General features: G+C 37.4%; 1 long non-coding RNA gene across 7 annotated transcripts in view, besides 1 other annotated feature; it reads right to left on the minus strand.

Annotated features, from left to right (window-relative positions):
• ARL14EP-DT (ARL14EP divergent transcript) overlaps positions 1 to 20,910 on the minus strand; it is a 279,977-nt gene that overhangs the window by 209,813 nt on the left and 49,254 nt on the right. The window lies entirely within an intron of this gene.
• Positions 15,587 to 16,087: an enhancer, noted in NCBI's record as "H3K4me1 hESC enhancer chr11:30289916-30290416 (GRCh37/hg19 assembly coordinates)". NCBI's record gives its function as "activates a minimal SCP1, AML or CMV promoter by ChIP-STARR-seq in primed H9 embryonic stem cells {active_cell/tissue: H9 hESC(primed)}" and the evidence as "EXISTENCE:reporter gene assay evidence [ECO:0000049][PMID:30033119]".

The following is a 20,910-nucleotide window of genomic DNA, read 5'->3' on the forward strand; positions in this document are numbered from 1 at the left end:
AACAAACATTTTTAATTTGAATGGCATGTGATTTATCTATTTTTTCTTGTATGGCTTTTGCGGCATTATTCACAATAGCAAAGACTTGGAACCAACCCAAATGTCCAACAATGATAGACTGGATTAAGAAAATGTGGCACATATACACCATGGAATACTATGCAGCCATAAAAAATGATGAGTTCATGTCCTTTGTAGGGACATGGATGAAATTGGAAATCATCATTCTCAGTAAACTATCGCAAGAACAAAAAACCAAACACCGCATATTCTCACTCATAGGTGGGAATTGAACAATGAGATCACATGGACACAGGAAGGAGAATATCACACTCTGGGGCCTGTGGTGGGGTTGGGGGAGCGGGGAGGGATAGCATTGGGAGATATACCTAATGCTAGATGACGAGTTAGTGGGTGCAGTGCACCAGCATGGCACATGTATACATATGTAACTAACCCGCACAATGTGCACATGTACCCTAAAACTTAAAGTATAAAAAATAAAAAATAAAAATTAAAAAAAGAAAAAAAACTAATAAAGAGAAAAAGCTATGAACAGACACTTTACATGAAGATACAGTTGGCAAATGAGCACTTGCAAAGATTTTTAATATCACTAGGTATCAAGGAAATGTAAATTAAAACTACAATGAGATATCACTACACATCTATCAGAATAGCTAAAATAAAAAATAATGAAAATGCCAAATGCTTATGAGCATTTGGTGGATCATTCATACATTGGTGGTGGTAATGTAAAATGGTAAAGCCACACTGAAAAACAATTGGCAATTTCTTATAAAAGTAAACATGCAATTATCATATTATCCAGCAATTATACTCATGGGCATTTATCTCAGATGTCTTTCAACAGGCAAATGTTAAACAAACTGAGGATATACATCCCTTGAATAACACATAGCAATAAAAATAACAGATTATCGACATATTCAACAACTTAGATAAATCTCCAGGGAATTATGCTGAATGAAATGGGTCAGTCCCCTAAAGTTGTACACTGTATGATTACATTGAAATAGCATTTTTGAAATGACAAAATTTTTGAAATGGAGAGTACATTAGTAGTAGGAGAGAAGGATGCTTGTAGTGTTAGAACTGATTAGTACCTTCACAGTGGTGGAAGACACATGAAAACTACACATTTGATAAAAATTGCACAGAACTAAACACGCATACACAAATATAAATGAGTGCAAGTGAAACTGGGGACATTTGAATAAGAAAGGCAGGTTGCATCTGTGTCCATATCCTGGTTGTGATATTATGCCACAGTTCTGCAAAATATTATCACTAGGGAAACAGGTAAAGTGTATAAAAGATCTCTCTGCATTATTTCTTACACCTGCATGTGAATCTATAATGCTCTCCATAAAAATCCCCAAAATATCATCAGTCTTTGCAACAAGGTACATATTTGTTCTTAAGCCAAATGTTTATCATAACCACTCTCAGTGCACTTCAGAAGCATAGACTCCTAGACATTAAAAGGCATTTATAGATTGATTATCCATAGATCATACTAACTTTTACCAAAATCGAGTTTCCCTTTCTTTAAGTTAAGCTTGGCCATAAGACTGGCTTTGATGAATAGAATATGTAAGGAAGTAGCTTGTGTCACTTCTGGGCAGAAGCTTTAAGAGTCAATGCATGCTTTGGCATCTTCTCAATTACCTTTGCTATGGCAACCATCAATGTTTCAGGAAGTGGCTGCTCTGTCAGCCTGAGTCCCAGAGTAAGGATGATAATGACTTGGGAACAGAGACCCCAGTTGACCCATGATGGTTATATAGTATAAGCAAGATATAAATGTTGATTGTTTCAAGCCCTGAAATTTGGAAGCTCTTCATTACTGCAGCATAATTTAACCTATCCCGTCTAATATAGTGCAACAAACTCTCATTTTATAGCCACTAAAATCAAGAGCAGGAAACTCTCATATTACAGCCACTAAAGCCAAGGATTATAGCTCATGCTACCTAGGAAGTTAATGATGGAGACATTACTATGACCTGCATAGCAAAAATCCCAGACTGCTGCCATTTTCCCATACACATTTTACCAGTGTGCTTCAGGCTATTTTGCTCATTAAGAATAAAACTAAAATACAAATAAAAGTTCTATACCAAATTTAATTATCAAATTAGTTTGCAGATTACTAAACCAAAAGTTGAAAGAACAGGTTTTTTAAAGTAGGCTGAATGAAATATTGGCATTTCTAATTTTATAATATAGTTCTGAATCAGCAGCCCATCATTCAAAGAAAAAAAGGGCACACGATTCACATGAGTCACACTGGAGAAATCCTTGATATTTTGAAAATTCAAATGTCAACAAGCCACATAATATGAGAAATGATAGTCACTGGCTCCATCCTTTTGAGCATTTCTACAAAATGAATCAAAATAAAATACCAACCCTGGAGGTTTATTAATCTACAAGATGTTTGAGCATTTCTGTAAAGAGATAACTTAATAATGGTCATTAATATTTGTGAAGTTAAAAGGGAGCTTGCAAAAATAAGCAGCATTTTTTTTCTGAGACAGGGATTGTTTTACCCAGCATGCTTTTTCATGAACATGCTAAGGACCTGAAAGATTTCCCATGGTATATGTTAAAATTTCAAATCTAATTTAAACAAACAAACAAAAAAAACAACACTTACAAGCTATGCCTATTACATAGATTATTTAAGAAAACAGCCCTCCATCCTTATTTGCTGCATGTCACACAGGAGAAAGAATTCATGCACTTCTCTGACTACATGACAGAACCTTTTAAAACCTGCCAGTCACTCAGTCAGTCAGCCATTCAGGTTTTATTGCAAATGTTCTGTTGGAAACAGTGAGCAGTTCATGAAACAAAAAAGATGTAGCTAAGATTTCCTTACGGAAAAACTTCACCTTGTCCCTGATTAACTATCCTATTTATTACTTCTCGAAACTACGAGTTTTTCCTCTGCAGTTTTAATTCTGATGTAAGTGTAATATGCTCACTGCAGATAATCTAGAAGGCTTAGACAAGAGAAAATGAAAGCAAAAAAGAGACAGAGAGAGAGAGAGAGACAGAGACAGAGAGACAGAGTTTTGCCATAGTCCCACTACTCCAAGTGAATACCAGCATAATTGTGGCAAATTTCCTTTGTCCTTTTTTTTCTGTGCCGTTTTAAAATACAGCTGAGATGATAACTCATTTATAATTCTGAATCCTTCTTGTGATCCAGTCGCCATGATGTCAAAAGTGTTCTCTCATATTATTAAAAACTCATTGTTAAAATCATTTTAATAGGCACCCAAAATTGAATTGTTTTGATAGACTGTCACCTATTTATTTATGCAATATTCCAACATAGAATATCTTGGTAACACAGAATATCTTGGTAATGTCTTCTTTTTTTTAATCACCATAATATATCTGAGTTTATTCAACCTTATTCCACATTTTTCATTATTGTTCTGATTTATCCTGGGTTCTAAAATGTATTTAATATGGTCCTTTCACTTCCATGCTGACCTGCTCCTTTCCTATAGCTGACTCTTCTCTAGATTGTCCTAAGAACCCTGAACAAGCTTCTTGCCACAGGTACATTTCAACTTCAGAATTCATCAAATACTTTCTGGTGCTCTCACTGGAACAGAGAGAGAGAGAGCACACATGAACAGTTCACATTCACAAAATAAATAAATATACAGATGATTACCTAAACAAAACAATCCCTCTTTATTTCTGAATATTTTCTAAACTTTTCAGTGATTTGAAGCTCATATTCATGTGTATTTTTAAAGGTAAATTATGTATGATAAAAATAAAAAAGCACTGGATTGAAATCAGATTCTTAATGCAATTCTACCTTTCTCATCTAAGTCACTATATTACATGAAGCCCATTTCCTCATTTGTAAAATAAGAAATTTAGATAGAGATCTCTGAGTTTTCTTCTAACTCTAACCTTCTCTGAGTGCAATTCTGGAACAGCTTCTGACTGTGCTCAGTTGTGTGACCTTAGGTATTAACCAGGCTTCAGAGGGGAAAACCAGAGCCACTCCTGTATTTCAGATAGGAAGGGTTTTAGTATGGGAATTCAAGCTTTTCCAAGGTTGGAAGAGTTGAGATGCAAAAGTCAGGAAAGCCACTACCAACTATGCCAGCCTGAAGCACCAGTGTGGATGGTTCTCAAGAGATGAAGCAAACACTGCTGCCAATCTGTCGAACCTCTAGAAAGCTCCTCACTCAAACTCTTCATTCTTCACCCAGGCAATGGGTGGTGATTGCAAGCATTCACTTAAAGCTATCATGAATCTCAAGAACCTCATGGACACCTCCACCAATCAGCTCAGTCTGCAGAATCAGTGTGACAATTCTCAAGATCACCTAGAAGCTGTTCGAGCCTCCAGTTGGCTCACACACCTGCTTGCAGCTGGTCCTGGAGCTTCTCTTTCTTTTCCACCTCCACAGATGCTCACTAAGGATCGTATGGCAAGGAGAATTCTGGGAAATGTAGTTCACACCTTTGAAAGCCTCCTAACTTCCTCTGGAAAATATTTATTAAGCAGATAGCTTAGTTTCTACTAAGGGCATAGTACTAAGCGCAGTACTGAAATAGGAATTCAACAGGACCAGTTTCCAAGACAATGGGTCACATAATCCTGCTGCTAAAATAGGAGACCCCATTGATAAGAGAGGATAAGTAAACAAACCAGCCTATGTCAGCTAAAACCAACATGGCAACTAAAACCAACATGGCAACTTCGCTCTGCTAATTACAACATATGCTAATTAAAACACTAGCACAAGCACCATGATAGTTTATAAATGCCACATGGCAATGTCCAGAAGTTACACTGTATGGTCAAGACTGGGGAGAAATCCCTGGTCCTGGGAGCTCCCTGCCCCATTCCCAGAAAACTTGTGAATAACCCACGCTTTGTTTAGAATATAATCAAGAAATGGCCATAAAATAGCCAGCTAGCAGCCCCCCACCTAGTGCTATTCTGCCTATGGGGTACCCGTGCTCTGCCTATGGAGCAGCCATCCTTTTATTCCTTTGCTTTGTAATAAACTTGCCTTTACTTTACTCTGTCAGCTCGCCCGTGAATTCTTCCCTGCATGAAGCCAAGAACCCATGTGGCCTCCAGGGGTGAACCTCAATTTTGGGATTCGCCTGCAATAGTACTATGAAAGGTACTAAGAAACATAACAGGCATGATCACTGCCCTCAAGAAACTCAAAACCAATTTGGTTTTGGGCTAGACACCCAGGATGTAGGGATCCCACATTTCTTTTAGTGCTACCCAGAACTCGTGCTTTTGAGTTACTGGATGTTACTTATAGGAAAAGGAGTAACAGGTGAAAATCAAGATAAACTCTCAGAGATTCCCTGCTGTGCCTGTCTCCTGCTTGAAGAAGCAGAAAGGAAAATGCTATGTGGAATCCCACAGTACAGAGACCATGAAACCTACAAAAGGGGACTCTTCAATTTGAGTTTTGAGAACAGAGACTAGTGCTTCTTTGTCATTCTCGTTCATTTTCCTTGCAATGTTGAAAATAATGTAAGATGTGTGAAAGTTTTCCAAAATCACTTCTGTGATTTATTTCTCAGGGACTTAACAAGTGATACTTTAGATACTCAGTGACTTCATGGCAGAGGGTCCTGGAAAAGCATGAAACTATATAAGGGCTGAATTATGCTGCCCTCACACCCTGTAAATTCATATGTTGAAGCCCTATCCTCCAGTACCTCAGAATGTAACTATAATTAGAGATAGGGCCTTTAAGGAGGTGATTAAGTTAAAATGAACTTATCTGAGTGGGCCCTAATTCAATCTGACTAGTGTTCTCACAAGAGAAGGAAAATTGAACACACAGAGGTGCCCCATAGGTACACACCCAGAAATAAAAGACCATGTGAGGACAGCAAGAGGCATCCACCTACAAGTAAAAGCAAAAACCTCAGAAGAAACCAAACCTACCCACACCTTGACCTTGGACTTCTAGCCTCCAGAACCGTGAGAAAATAAATATCTATTGTTTAAGCCACCCAGTCTATGGTATTTTGTCATGGAAGCAACCACAGGCATTTGCATGGGATTTGGAGCAGCAGCTGTGTTCATGGGTCTTGCAGCCTGAAAGAAGACTCCTTACAAGTAGGTTTTGGCCAATGATTAGCATAAATTAGTAGACTTCTATACTAGTTTTGCACCATATGTGGTCAAGTGCAGAGAAGAGAATATAAACTGGATGAAGACAAAGCCCTTAACCTATTTTATTGACTGCTGTATCCCCAGTGTAAGTGTACAGTTTTATTAGTTTTGAAAAACATAGTCATATAAAGCCATCATAATCATGAACATTTCTATCACCCCAAAAAGTTCCCTCATGCCTCTCTGCAGTTAATCTCCTTCCTAAGTCCCAGTCCTTGGCAACCACTGATCTGCTATCACTATAATATGCCTTTTCTACAATTTCCTATAAATGGGATCATACAGAGTACAGTCTTGGCTTCTTTTCATTTAGCATTTGATATTTATTCATGCTGCTTTGTGAATCAGTACTGCATTTCCTTTTTATTGTTGAGTAATATTTTCCTTATGGATATATCACAATTTTTTAATCCATTCACCAACTGATGGACATTTGAGTTATTTCTAATTCTGGGCCATTATAAATAATGTTTCTATTAGTGTTTGGGTACAAGTCTGTGTGTCTTTTCTTTCTTTACATTTTTTAAGAAAAAAAAATTGCCATCGATGATAGACCAGATAAAGAAAATGCAGTACATATATATATATACACGATGGAATACTATGCAGTCATAAAAATGAATGAGATCATGTCCTTTGCAGGGACATGTATGGAGCTGGAAGCCATTATCCTCAGCAAACTGATGCAGGAACAGAGAACCAAATACCGCATGTTATCACTTATAAGTGGGAGCTGAACAATGAGAACACATGGACACAGGGAGGGGAACAATGGACACTGGGGCCTGTCGAGGGGCGGGATTGGGGGAGGGAGAGTATTAGGAAAAATAGCTAATGCATGCTGGGCTTAATACCTAGGTGACGGGTTAATAGATGCAGCAAACCACCATAGCACACATTTACCTATGTAACAAACCTGCACATCCTGCATACGTACCCTGGAACTTAAAATTAAAATTAACATTAATTTTAAAAAGAGAAGTAGTATTTTGAATGCTCTGCAGCACTACATGGCAGAGGACCCTAGAAAAGCATGAAAGTGTATGGATCAGCTGAATTATGCCCGCTCCCTGCAAATGCATATGGTGAAGTCTATTTCCTAGTTACCTCAGAATGTGACTGTGTTTGGAGATAGGTCTTTAAAGAGGTGATCATGTAAAAATAAGTTTATATGGATGAGTGAATGCCTAGGAGAAGAATTGCTAGGAAGTATGTTAGAGTATGTTTAAATTGATAAGAAACAGGTAAACTGTTTTCTCAAGTTGCTGTACTATTTTACATTCCCTACAGCAATGTTCAAGGGTTCCAGTTACCCCTCATCCTCACCAATCCTTGTTACTGCAGCCTCTTTCATCGTAGTTGTCTATTGGTTGTGCAATGGCATCTTACTGCTGATGACTAATGATGTTCAGCCTGTTTTTCATATGCTTATTTGCCATTTGTGTATCTTTTGTGAAATATCTATCAAAATCTTAGCCCATTTTTAACTGAGTTGTTTTATTATTGAGTTGTAAAAGTCGTTTCTATATTCCGATATAACTTCTTTATCAGATAAAAATTTTGAAAATATTGCCTTCTGCCTATAGCTTTTTTTCCTATAGTTAACACTGTCTTTTGAAAAATACATTTTTAATTTTTATGGAGACCATATTGTCATTTTGTCTTTCATGGTTTATGTTTTTTGTGCCTTCTCTAAAAAATTGTTATCTAGCCCAAGATCACAAATACTTTTCCGACAGTTTTTTTCTAAAATTTATAGTATTAACTTTAATATTTATATTATACATTTAGCACATTTTCATATAAGTTATGAGGTATATTCTATACATTTAAGTATGTATCAATTTATTTCTTTTCATCTAGGTTTGATAATGATATAATTTTGATTTTTTAAAACTGTTTCCCTATCTTTTAGAAATCCATACGAAAAGTCTTAAAAATGAAATGATTACTGGAGGTGTGAGAGAGTAGGCACAAGTATAGTAGTTGTGGTAAAACAATGTTGACCACAAGTTGATAATTGCTGGAACTGAGAGATGGCTGTATGGGAGTATGCTGTACTAGCCTCTCACTTTAACATATTTGAAATTTTCTACAATAAAGTTTAAGAAAACATTTGTAACATGAAGAAACTAAGAGCTGAAGAAATATAATTGAGGATATTCATGGGTTTTAATTTATTCCTGGTGAGTCAGGCTTCAATTGAGTTATCTTATTAGAAAGAAAAAAAAAACAACCAAAACACACAAGGCACATCATGATTATGGTTTATGATCTTAAAATCCCAGATGTATTATTTACTAGCCTTATAACTCTACACAATTGCACTCTATGCAATTTGGTTAAAATGAGATTTGTGGTTATGCATTGTAAAGTCTTCACACTTGTGAAGATTAAAATTAGAAATAACAGCAAAATGTCTGACACATACAGGTTAATCTTATTTCTTCAATTTCATCCCTTATTCAAAGCCAAGCCAGCTACTGAGCATATGTTTCACATTTTAAAATGGATTTGAATAGGATTTAATAACATACTACTCTGATGGCCTATATTAGATGAGTGTAATATGAGTCAAAAGAGCATGCTTTTCAAGAAATCAAAACTCTTAACTTGGGTTTTGTTTATTTGCCTTAGAAAAACTCTGGTGCAGTCAGTGCTTACATTCTGAGCTCTTACTGTACAATTTCAGCAGCAGCATCTAATAGAAGTATTGAAAAAAATGATGCCTGCTTTATTTTTCTCCTGCAATAACAGTTTTATTAAAAATGAGAGAGGTAACCATTCCAAGAATTAATTTGATAATAAAAAGAAATATACATAATTTTCATTTCTTATAAGTAAATAGAAAATGCATAGTTACCTATTGGGCAACCTTTTACTATTTCTCATTTGTCTGTCATATCAACAGAAGAAAAAAAACACTAGTCCTGGGATCTGAGAGATATGAGTTCAATCTTGAGCTTTTTTCTTCCTGGCAAGCTTTGAAAGTCACTAAATCTCTTTTTTGCCACAATTTTCCCATCTGTCAACTGGAGTTTAACAACGAATGTTTACTGGATGCATACCATGTGCCAGGAACTCTTCTAGATGAATAAAACAGAAGTTCCCTACCAATGTACAGTTTACATTCTAGTGGTTAAATAACTTTCCTGGTCATACACTTACTAGGTGACAGAACCATGATTCAAAGACAGGTAGTCTTGGTATATAGAGTATATACTCCAAACCACTAAGTTATACCATGATTTGTGAAATTAATGAGATGATCTATGACAAATACCTAGATAGGATCTCAGTGAACACAGCAATTAAAATTACTTGTTTATTTTCTTTATAAAATCATCTTTACTGAGGCATAATTTACATAAAATAAAATGCATCAGTTTGTTAATTTTATGAGCTCAAAGTTGTTCCTAATATTACCTTGTTGTTATTTTCATATTTTAGTATCTGGTAATTGATAATTGGTATCTTTTTTTTTCTGAGCAGTCTAGCCAGATGGCCATAGATTTTGTTATTTTCCAAAAGACTAGCTTTTGGTACCACTGATTCTTCTGTATTGTTTTTTTCATTTTGTATTTTATCGTTTTCTATTCTTGTTTTTACAATTTTCTTCCCTTTACTTACTTTGGGTCTAATTCACTCTTTTTGCAGCTTCTTAAGGTGGAAGTTTAGATTATCAATGAAACCTCCTTTCTTTTCTAATGTAAGCAACTAAAGCTAAAAATTTCCCTCTAAACACAACTTTAGCTGCATTTCGCAAATTTCACTATGCTGTGTCTTTATTTTTAATCCCATTCATATAATTTCCTAATTTCCCTTGAAATTTGTTTTCAGGGCCCCCCCTCCTTCTCTTGTCATTCAGAATTTATTGATTACATTTTGGGTTTCATTTTATGTCCCCTATTGCATTTACTGACTATACATCTTTGTATTGTTTTAGAGATTGTGCTAGAGTTTATAATATACATCTTAAATTAACACAGTCTACCTTAAATACTATTATTTTATTTATAAAAATTTTACAATGGTATACTTTCATATCAACCTGCTATCCTTGCTTTCATACATTTTACTTTTATTTACATCATAAAACTGACAAAAAATTTATAATTTGTCTTTCACAGTTATCTTTTTTTAATTTTATTATTATTATACTTTAAGTTTTAGGGTACATGTGCACATTGTGCAGGTTTGTTATATATGTATACATGTGCCATGTTGATGTGCTGCACCCATTAACTCGTCATTTAGCATTAGGTATATCTCCTAATGCTATCCCTCCCCCCTCCCCCCACCCCACAACAGGCCCCAGTGTGTAATGTTCCCCTTCCTGTGTCCATGTGTTCTCATTGTTCAGTTCCCACCTACGAGTGAGAACATGCGGTGTTTGGTTTTCTGTCCTTGCGATAGTTTGCTGAGAATGATGGTTTCCAGTTTCATCCATGTCCCTTCAAAGGACATGAGCTCATCATTTTTTATGGCCGCATAGTATTCCATGGTGTATATGTGCCACATTTTCTTAATCCAGTCTATCATTGTTGGACATTTGGGTTGATTCCAAGTCTTTGCTATTGTGAATAGTGCCGCAATAAACATACGTGTGCATGCGTCTTCATAGCAGCATGATTTATAATCTTTTGGGTGTATACCCAGTAATGGGATGGCTGGGTCAAATGGTATTTCTAGTTCTAGATCCCTGAGGAATCACCACACTAACTTCCACAATGGTTGAACTAGTTTACAGTCCCACCAACAGTGTAAAAGTGTTCCTATTTCTCCACATCCTCTCCAGCACCTGTTGTTTCCTGACTTTTTAATGATTGCCATTCTAACTGGTGTGAGATGGTATCTCATTGTGGTTTTGATTTGCATTTCTCTGATGGCCAGTGATGACGAACATTTTTTCATGTGTCTGTTGGCTGCATAAATGTCTTCTTTTGAGAAGTGTCTGTTCATATCCTTCACCCACTTTTTGATGGGGTTGTTTGTTTTTTTCTTGTAAATTTGTTTGAGTTCACTATAGATTCTGGATATTAGCCCTTTGTCAGATGAGTAGGTTGCAAAAATTTTCTCCCATTCTGTAGGTTGCCTGTTCACTCTGATGGTAGTTTCTTTTGCTGTGCAGAAGCTCTTTAGTTTAGTTAGATCCCATTTGTCAATTTTGGATTTTCTTGCCATTGCTTTTGTTGTTTTAGATATGAAGTCCTTGCCCATGCCTATGTCCTGAATGCTATTGCCTAGGTTTTCTTCTAGGGTTTTTATGGTTTTAGGTCTAACATTTAAGTCTCTAATCCATCTTGAATTAATTTTTGTATAAGGTGTAAGGAAGGGATCCAGTTTCAGCTTTCTACATATGGCTAGTCAGTTTTCCCAGCACCATTTATTAAATAGGGAATCCTTTCCCCATTGCTTGTTTTTGTCAGGTTTGTCAAAGATCAGATAGTTGTAGATAAGCGGCATTATTTCTGAGGGATCTGTTCTGTTCCATTGGTCTATATCTCTATTTTGGTACCAGTACCATGCTGTTTTGGTTACTGTAGCCTTGTAGTATAGTTTGAAGTCAGGTAGTGTGATGCCTCCAGCTTTGTTCTTTTGGCTTAGGATTGACTTGGCAATGCGGGCTCTTTTTTTGGTTCCATATGAACTTTAAAGTATTTTTTTCCAACTCTGTGAAGAAAGTCATTGGCAGCTTGATGGGGATGGCATTGAATCTATAAATTACCTTGGGCAGTATGGCTGTTTTCACAATATTGATTTTTCCTATCCATGAGCATGGAATGCTCTTCCATTTGTTTGTATCCTCTTTTATTTCACTGAGCAGTGGTTTGTAGTTCTCCTTGAAGAGGTCCTTCACATCCCTTGTTTGTTGGATTCCTAGGTATGTTATTCTCTTTGAAGCAATTGTGAATGGGAGTTCACTCATTATTTGGCTCTCTGTTTGTCTGTTATTGATGTATAAGAATGCTTGTGATTTTTGTACATTGATTTTGTATCCTGAGACTTTGCTGAAGTTGCTTATCAGCTTGAGGAGATTTTGGGCTGAGACGATGGGGTTTTCTAGATATACAATCATGTCATCTGCAAACAGGAACAATTTGACTTCTTCTTTTCCTAATTGAATACCCTTTATTTCCTTCTCCTGCCTGATTGCCCTGGCCAGAACTTCCAACACTATGTTGAATAGGAGTGGTGAGAGAGGGCATCTCTGTCTTGTGCCAGTTTTCAAAGGGAATGCTTCCAGTTTTTGCACATTCAGTATGATATTGGCTGTGGGTTTGTCACAGATAGCTTATTATTTTGAGATACGTCCCATCAATACCTAATTTATTGAGAGTTTCTAGGATGAAGGTTGTTGAATTTTGTCAAAGGCCTTTTCTGCATCTATTGAGATAATCATGTGGTTTTTGTCTTTGGTTCTGTTTATATGATGGATTACATTTATTGATTTGTGTATGTTGAACCAGCCTTGCATCCCAGAGATGAAGCCCATTTGATCATGATGGATAAGCTTTTTGATGGGCTGCTGGATTCTGTTTGCCAGTATTTTATTGAGGATTTTTGCATTAATGTTCATCAAGGATATTGGTCTAAAATTCTCTTTTTTGGTTGTGTCTCTGCCAGGTTTTGGTATTAGGATGATGCTGGCCTCATAAAATGACTTAGGGAGGATTCCCTCTTTTTCTGTTGATTGGAATAGTTTCAGAAGGAATGGTACCAGCTCCTCTTTGTACCTCTGGTAGAATTCGGCTGTGAATCCATCTGGTCCTGGACTTTTTTTGGTTGGTAAGCTATTGATTATTGCCTCAATTTCAGAGCCTGTTATTGGTCTATTCAGAGATTCAACTTCTTCCCGGTTTAGTCTTGGGAGGATGTATGTGTTGAGGAATTTATCCATTTCTTCTAGATTTTCTAGTTTGTTTGCATACAGGTGTTTATAGTATTCTCTGATGGTAGTTTGTATTTCTGTGGGATTGGTGGTGATATCCCCTTTATCATTTTTCATTGCGTCTATTTGATTCTTCTGTCTTCTTTATTAGTCTTGCTAGCAGTCTATCAATTTTGTTGATCTTTTCAAAAAACCAGCTCCTGGATTCATTAATTTTTTGAAGGGTTTTTTGTGTCTCTATTTCCTTCAGTTCTGCTCTGATCTTAGTTAATTCTTGCCTTCTGCTAGCTTTTGAATGTGTTTGCTCTTGCTTTTGTAGCTCTTTTAATTGTGATGTTAAGGTGTCAATTTTAGATCTTTCCTGCCTTCTCTTGTGGGCATTTAGTGCTATAAATTTCCCTCTACACACTGCTTTGAATGTGTCCCAGAGATTCTGGTATGTTGTGTCTTTGTTCTCATTGGTTTCAAAGAACATCTTTATTTCTGCCTTCATTTCATTATTTACCCAGTAGTCATTCAGGAGCAGGTTGTTCAGTTTCCATGTAGTTGAGCGGTTTTGAGTTAGTTTCTTAATCCTGAGTTCTAATTTGATTGCACTGTGGTCTGAGAGACAGTTTGTTATAATTTCTGTTCTTTTACATTTGCTGAGGAGAGCTTTACTTCCAACTATGTGGTCAATTTTGGAGTAGGTGTGGTGTGGTGCTGAAAAGAATGTATATTCTGTTGATTTGGGGTGGAGAGTTCTATAGATGTCTCTTAGGTCAATTTGGTGCAGAGCTGAGTTCAATTCCTGGGTATCCTTGTTAACTTTCTGTCTCGTTGATCTGTCTAATGTTGACAGTGGGGTGTAAAGTCTCCCATTATTATTGTGTGGGAGTCTAAGTCTCTTTGTAGGTCACTCAGGACTTGCTTTATGAATCTGGGTGCTCCTGCATTGGGTGCATATATCTTTAGGATAGTTAGCTCTTCCTTTTGAATTGATCCCTTTACCATTATATAATGGCCTTCTTTATCTCTTTTAATCTTTGTTGGTTTAAAGTCTGTTTTATCAGAGACTAGGATTGCAACCCCTACATTTTTTTGTTTTCCATTTGCTTGGTAGATCTTCCTCCATCCCTTTATTTTGAGCCTATGTGTGTCTCTGCACGTGAGATGGGTTTCCTGAATACAGCACACTGATGGGTCTTGACTCTTTATCCAATTTGCCAGTCTGTGTCTTTTAATTGGAGCATTTAGCCCATTTACATTTAAAGTTAATATTGTTATGTGTGAATTTGATCCTGTCATTATGATGTTAGCTGGTTATTTTGCTTGATAGTTGATGCAGTTTCTTCCTAGCCTTTATGGTCTTTACAATTTGGCATGTTTTTGCAGTGGCTGGTACCAGTTGTTCCTTTCCATGTTTAGTGCTTCCTTCAGGAGCTCTTTTAGGGCAGGCCTGGTGGTGACAAAATCTCTCAGCATTTGCTTGTCTGTAAAGTATTTTATTTCTCCTTCACTTATGAAGCTTAGTTTGGCTGGATGTGAGATTCTGGGTTGAAAATTCTTTTCTTAAAGAATGTTGAATATTGGTCCCCACTCTCTTCTGGCTTGCAGAGTTTCTGCCGAGAGATCAGCTGTTAGTCTGATGGGCTTCCCTTTGTGGGTAACCTGACCTTCCTCTCTGGCTGCCCTTAACATTTTTTCCTTCATTTCAACTTTGGTGAATCTGACAATTATGTGTCTTGGACTTGCTCTTCTTGAGGAGTATCTTTGTGGAGTTCTCTGTATTTCCTGAATTTGAATGTTGGCCTGCCTTTCTAGATTGGGGAAGTTCTCCTGGATAATATCCTGCAGAGTGTTTTCCAACTTGGTTCCATTCTCCCCGTCACTTTCAGGTACACCAATCAGACGTAGATTTGGTCTTTTCACATAGTCCCATATTTCTTGGAGGCTTTGTTCATTTCTTTTTATTCTTTTTTCTCTAAATTTCTCTTCTCGCTTCATTTCATTCATTTCATCTTCCATCACTGATACACTTTCTTCCAGTTGATCTCCTCGGCTACTAAGGCTTCTGCATTCGTCACGTAGCTCTCATGCCTTGGTTTTCAGCTCCATCAGGTCCTTTAAGGACTTCTCTGCATTGGTTATCCTACTTATCCATTTGTCTAATTTTTTTTCAAAGCTTTTTACTTCTTTGCCATTGGTTCGAATTTCCTCCTGTAGCTCGGAGTAGTTTGATCGTCTGAAGCCTTCTTCTCTCAACTCGTCAAAGTCATTCTCCGTCCAGCTTTGTTCCATTGCTGGTGAGGAGCTGCATTCCTTTGGAGGAGGAGAGGCGCTCTGATATTTAGAGTTTCCAGTTTTTCTGCTGTTTTTTTCTCATCTTTGTGGTTTTATCTGCCTTTGGTCTTTCATGATGGTGATGTACAGACGGGTTTTTGGTGTGGATGTCCTTTCTGTTTGTTAGTTTTCCTTCTAACAGACAGGACCCTCAGCTGCAGGTCATTTGGAGTTTGCTAGAGGTCCACTCCAGAACCTGTTTGCCTGGGTATCAGCAGCAGTGGCTGCAGAACAGCGGATATTGGTGAACCGCAGATGCTGCTGCCTGATCGTTCCTCTGGAAGTTTTGTCTCAGAAAAGTACCCGGCCGTGTGAGGTGTCAGTCCGCTCCCACTGGGGAATGCCTCCCAGTTAGGCTACTCGGGGGTCAGCGACCCACTTGAGGAGGCAGTCTGCCCATTCTCAGATCTCGAGCTGCGTGCTGGGAGTACCACTACTCTCTTCAAAGCTGTCAGAGAGGGACATTTAAGTCTGCAGAGGTTACTGCTCTCTTTTTGTTTGTCTGTGCCCTGTCCCCAGAGGTGGAGCCTACAGAGGCAGGCAGGCCTCCTTGAGTTGCGGTGGGCTCCACCTAGTTGGAGCTTCCTGGCCGCTTTGTTTACCTAATCAAACAACTAACTGGGCAATGGCGGGCGCCCCTCCCCCAGCCTCACTGCCGCCTTGCGGTTTGATCTCGGACTGCTGTGCTAGCAATGAGCGAGACTCCGTGGGCATAGGACCCTCTGAGCCAGGTGTGGGATATAAACTTCTGGTGTGCCATTTTTTAAGCCCATTGGAAAAGCACAGTATTAGGGTGGGAGTGACCTGATTTTCCAGGTGCCATCTGTCACCGCTTTGACTAGGAAAGGGAATTCCCTGACCCCTTGCGCTTCCCAGGTGAGGTGATGCCTCGCCCTGCTTCGGCTCTCGCACGGTGTGCTGCACCCACTGTCCTGCACCTACTGTCTGGCACTCCCTAGTGAGATGAACCTGGTACCTCAGTTGGAAATGCAGAAATCACCCATCTTCTGTGTCGCTCACGCTGGGAACTGTAGACCGGAGCTGTTCCTATTCGGCCATCTTGGCTCCTCCCCCTAACAGTTATCTTTTAACAAAACTTAAATTAGAAAAAAATTTGATCTCTACTCTCTTATTTACCACTTCTAGCAGTCTTCATTCATTTTATATACATACAAATTTTCATCTGATAGTGTTTTCCCTCAATATTAAATTTTATAGTGTCTGGTGACACTATAAATTTTATAGTGTCTGGTGACAAATCTTCTGTTTATCTATTTAAAAAATCTTCATTTTGCCCTAATTTTCCAAATAATAAATATTACAGATATTGCATTTTTCTGCTGCGAGTTTTTTAATAGTTTATAATTCTCTTGTTATTTTCATGTATTTCATTATATCTTTAAACATTATTAATAATAGCTGTTTAAAAGTTTTGTACCATTTTAGTATATTTTACTGGATGTTGGCCATTACTAATTTTACATTTTGGAACACTGGATTTTGTTTCAGCCTTTAAACAGTGTTGGACCTGGTTCTGACAAGTGGTTAATTTATTTGCCAATAATTTTGATCTTTTCAAAGCTTCTTTTTCAGTTTGTTGTGGAAGGTCTTGAGTAGCCTTTACGATAGAACTAGTTTGGCCATACTTCTAAAGTATGACCTTTCTGAAGGGTCTACAGCAATGTCCTCGATGTTAAATGAGGACTCTCTGCTCTGGCCAGTCAAGATTTGAACATCTTTCAGCCCTGTGTAAGTAATGAGAACTTTCTCAGCATATTACCCAATTATCTTTCCCAGCCTCTTTGGTTTCCACTGTGTCAATCTGTGGATTTGTATTTAGCATCAGACTCAAGGGAACCCACCGATATGCAGATTTCTGGAGTTCTTTCTCTGACTAGCTCTTTCCTCTCCTGTAGTCCATCCTGCAAATCCTAGCTGCCCCATTTCTTCACACTGTGATCTCTGTGTTCTCAAATCAGTGTTCATCCTGGCAGAAAATGATGTTTCTCTGGCAGAAAACCAAAGTGATTTTAGGACTCACCCTATTTGTTTCCCTTCTAAGGGATGAGAGTTCTGGAATGTCTATTACCCAAAGTTCAAAAATATAATGTTCCATATATTTTATCCATCTAGTTGTTTAAAGTTGGAGGGCTAGGCTAGTCTCAATTATTCTGCCAAACCCAGAAGTCAAAATCCATCTCATTTTCTTTCTATATTGCAAAAACTATAGCCCCCAACCATCAAATGCCTCAAGAGAAACATCTTAGCAAAGGTGCAGAAGAATCATGTCTCTGGCACATACATTTCAGGAATTGATGCTGTAGAATCATGAGACAATCGTTCAGAGAAAGTTTAGGAGAAGAACAGCTGTTTTGGAATTCTTTGCTACCTGCTGGGAATCACAAGTGATTCATTGTTTTTTTCTGCTCCTAACTATTTTTGGCATAGGTCACTGAATCCAGGCCTTTTTTGTCAGTATTTTTTCTTCAGCTAGTAAAGCAAGTATATTCCACTGTTTGGCAGTTGGAACAAGCTGCTGATAGGCACTGTCACACTATCATTTGGTTTGCAACTTTGGTGATGGCACAAGGAAAAATCCCTCAACTAGGATAACCAGATGGAATACTCAAAGGCAGAGAAAACAGAGAAGACATAATGAACTAAAGATGAATTTATTCCCTCATTGTTTATGTTGTAGTGAAGAAATGCCATGAGAGGTGTTGGCAGAAGTTTGACATGAAAGAGCTGAGCATAATCACTTCATTCCTCTTGGCATAGGGCAGAGCAGTAGGCTGCTCTTGGAAAAGAAAGAGATGTTTCAGGGAAGAGCAACAAAAATAATCAGGCACTAAAAAAAAGAATCTGTGGGGAAAAAGGTTTATAAATTGGCATGGTTTATACTATAAAGAGCACTAAGGTGTCTTCACATTTGAATTAGGTTGCATTTATGGAGCACATTAAAGCCCTTTTACAATACACTGCCGTGTTATCTGATTTTATCATCATAATAACCTGTGAGCATAATGTATTATTTCTATTTTATAGAGACATAGACTAAGGAAAAGAGTTTAAGGGATTTCACTCCAGTCACAAAGCCAACTGATGGCAGAGACAAAAATAAAACATGGCTGTTCCAGTCCATTAGACAAGTGTATTCTTTTTTTTTTTTTTTTTTGAGGCAGAGCCTCGCTCTTGTCACCCAGGCTGGAGTGCAATGGCTTGATCTCGACTCACTGCAACCTCTGCCTCGCGGGTTCAAGCAATTCTCCTGCCTCAGTCTCCTAAGTAGCTGGGATTACGGGCACCCACCACCACACCCAGCTATTTGTTTAAATTTTTCGTAGAGATAGGGTTTCACCATTTTGGCCAGGCTGGCCTTGAACCCCTGACCTCAGGTGATCTGCCCTTGACGAGTGTATTCTAGCTAGTGATTCTTCATCTCAGTAAAGGATGCCACAAGAGAAAGTAGCTAAATAAATGGAATCAAAAGCATAACAGCATCACAAAAGAGTTTCTTGGCATTTTTTGGATTTCTAGGTAAAGATGGAAAAATGAATACACATGTTTACTTTCACTACCCATTCAAAATCTACTAAAATAGTGGAGAGATGTTTTTAAAGGACCAAATCCACAAAAAAAAAATAAAAAAACATAAGGAAACAAAAATAAATTTGGAGGAGATATAAAGCAGAAGAAAAATAAATAATATAGCAGATATAAGAAAACTGAATCCTTAGCTGGTAGCCATACACTCCAGGTCCCCAAAAGACTCAGAAATTGGTAGTATCTGTTATCATGAAAATGAGTGTAAAGGGGGAAAGGCTTCAAAAAGGGAATTATAGTAAGTCCTAGATCCCAACCTACTCTCTATAGCCAGGAAACTAGCAATGCTCTGCTCCAACAAAATACCTTTTTTGTTTTCTTTTTCTTTTTCTTTTTTCTTTTAATCCTTGAGAAAGGTAAAATAGAGGTACCTCCCTTCTTGACGGAAGTCACTGAGAACAATTATCCTCAAAAGACACCTTACTAAAAATAAAGATCTCTATCCCACTGGGCTCACCGAGGCTATCAGCTAGACTTCACCTTCCAAGAAGGAGACAGAAAATTTTTATTTGCAGAATCTCCCCAGCCCTAGAGGATATAAACATCAGCATTTCCTCATTCAAAAGGCCTAGTTAGAGCAACCTGCAAGGGAGCTCTCAGTTGACAAGCTACATCATGTTCATCATGTTCCTATATTTTTAATTAGCTTTTTAATTCCCCTTCTTAAAATCGAACAAAAAGTCACAGATTATACACATCTAAGGAAAGCTCCTAAATTAAAAGATGCAGGTGGAAGGGAGAGGGAGAGAGGAAGGAATGAGAGAGAGACTATGTAGAGAGAAGAACCCCACCACCACTACCCACTCACCCACACATAAACAAAAATCCCATCGTTGTGCTCAATCTCAACACTGTAACCTAGATAACACCGATAGAATCCTTTCTGAATTCCAAACAAAAATGATTTTCAACCTAGAATTCATTACCAAGCCACATTACTATTTAAAAGTGAAGAAAAAAATAAATATTTTTAAACATGCAAAATTGTTATAAAATTTGTCTTTTATGAGAATTAAATAGAAAAGACAAGAAAAATCAGAAACAGGCTATACAACACAGAGAAGAGGTAAAGGGCATCTCACAATGATTATGAACGATGGTCCCAGGTTGTCAGAGATATACCTAGCAGAAAAGGAACCAATCCAGTTCCTTAGGAATAAGTTAAAAGGATGTAGGAGAAACATCTTTAGGAAGGCAAAATAGAAAACTGAATATAAATTAATGCATTCAGAAGCATTCTAGACAGTTGGTGGATAGTCTGAGGTTGGATTAATTATAAGTACATAGAAAATTAAGCAAATAAAAGAAGACAAATGTAAAAATTATGTAGCAAAATAAAAGTAATCAGACTTTTCTACATGGTGCAGTTGTGATTAGGGAATACATTCAAAACATGCAAATGAGTATATTAAACCAAAGTTAAATCATCACCGTATTGGCAGAATGGGAAATAAAAAGGTTACATATATATAGCAAGGTAGGGAGAGGAAATAATTATATCTTTATTTTTCATAGAGAAAAATCCATAGCTTGGAAAATGAAAAAGTATCAATGAAAATATGTTATTTAGAGACACTCAGGAGGCACTGAAATAAATGTAACACCAGGTAGTCTGTATGTCTCCAGCTTTGCTGGGAAACATGGAGCCTACCCACCCTACACAACGTCAAAAAGACAACACAGTGTGTTTATTGAAAAGCCTAACCTACAGAGCTGAACAAATCTATATTCTAGTTCTGACCCCACCATCAATTGACTGTGATGCCATCGGCAAGTTCCTTAACCACTTTAAGCTGCTGTTTCCATTTATAAGATGAAAATATAATAATGTCTAAAACATTTTCAGGCACATAATTGGTACTCATACACATATTAA

The sequence above is a fragment of the Homo sapiens genome, chromosome 11 (genome assembly GCF_000001405.40).
Source record: "Homo sapiens chromosome 11, GRCh38.p14 Primary Assembly".
NCBI classification, from domain to species: Eukaryota; Metazoa; Chordata; class Mammalia; order Primates; family Hominidae; genus Homo; species Homo sapiens.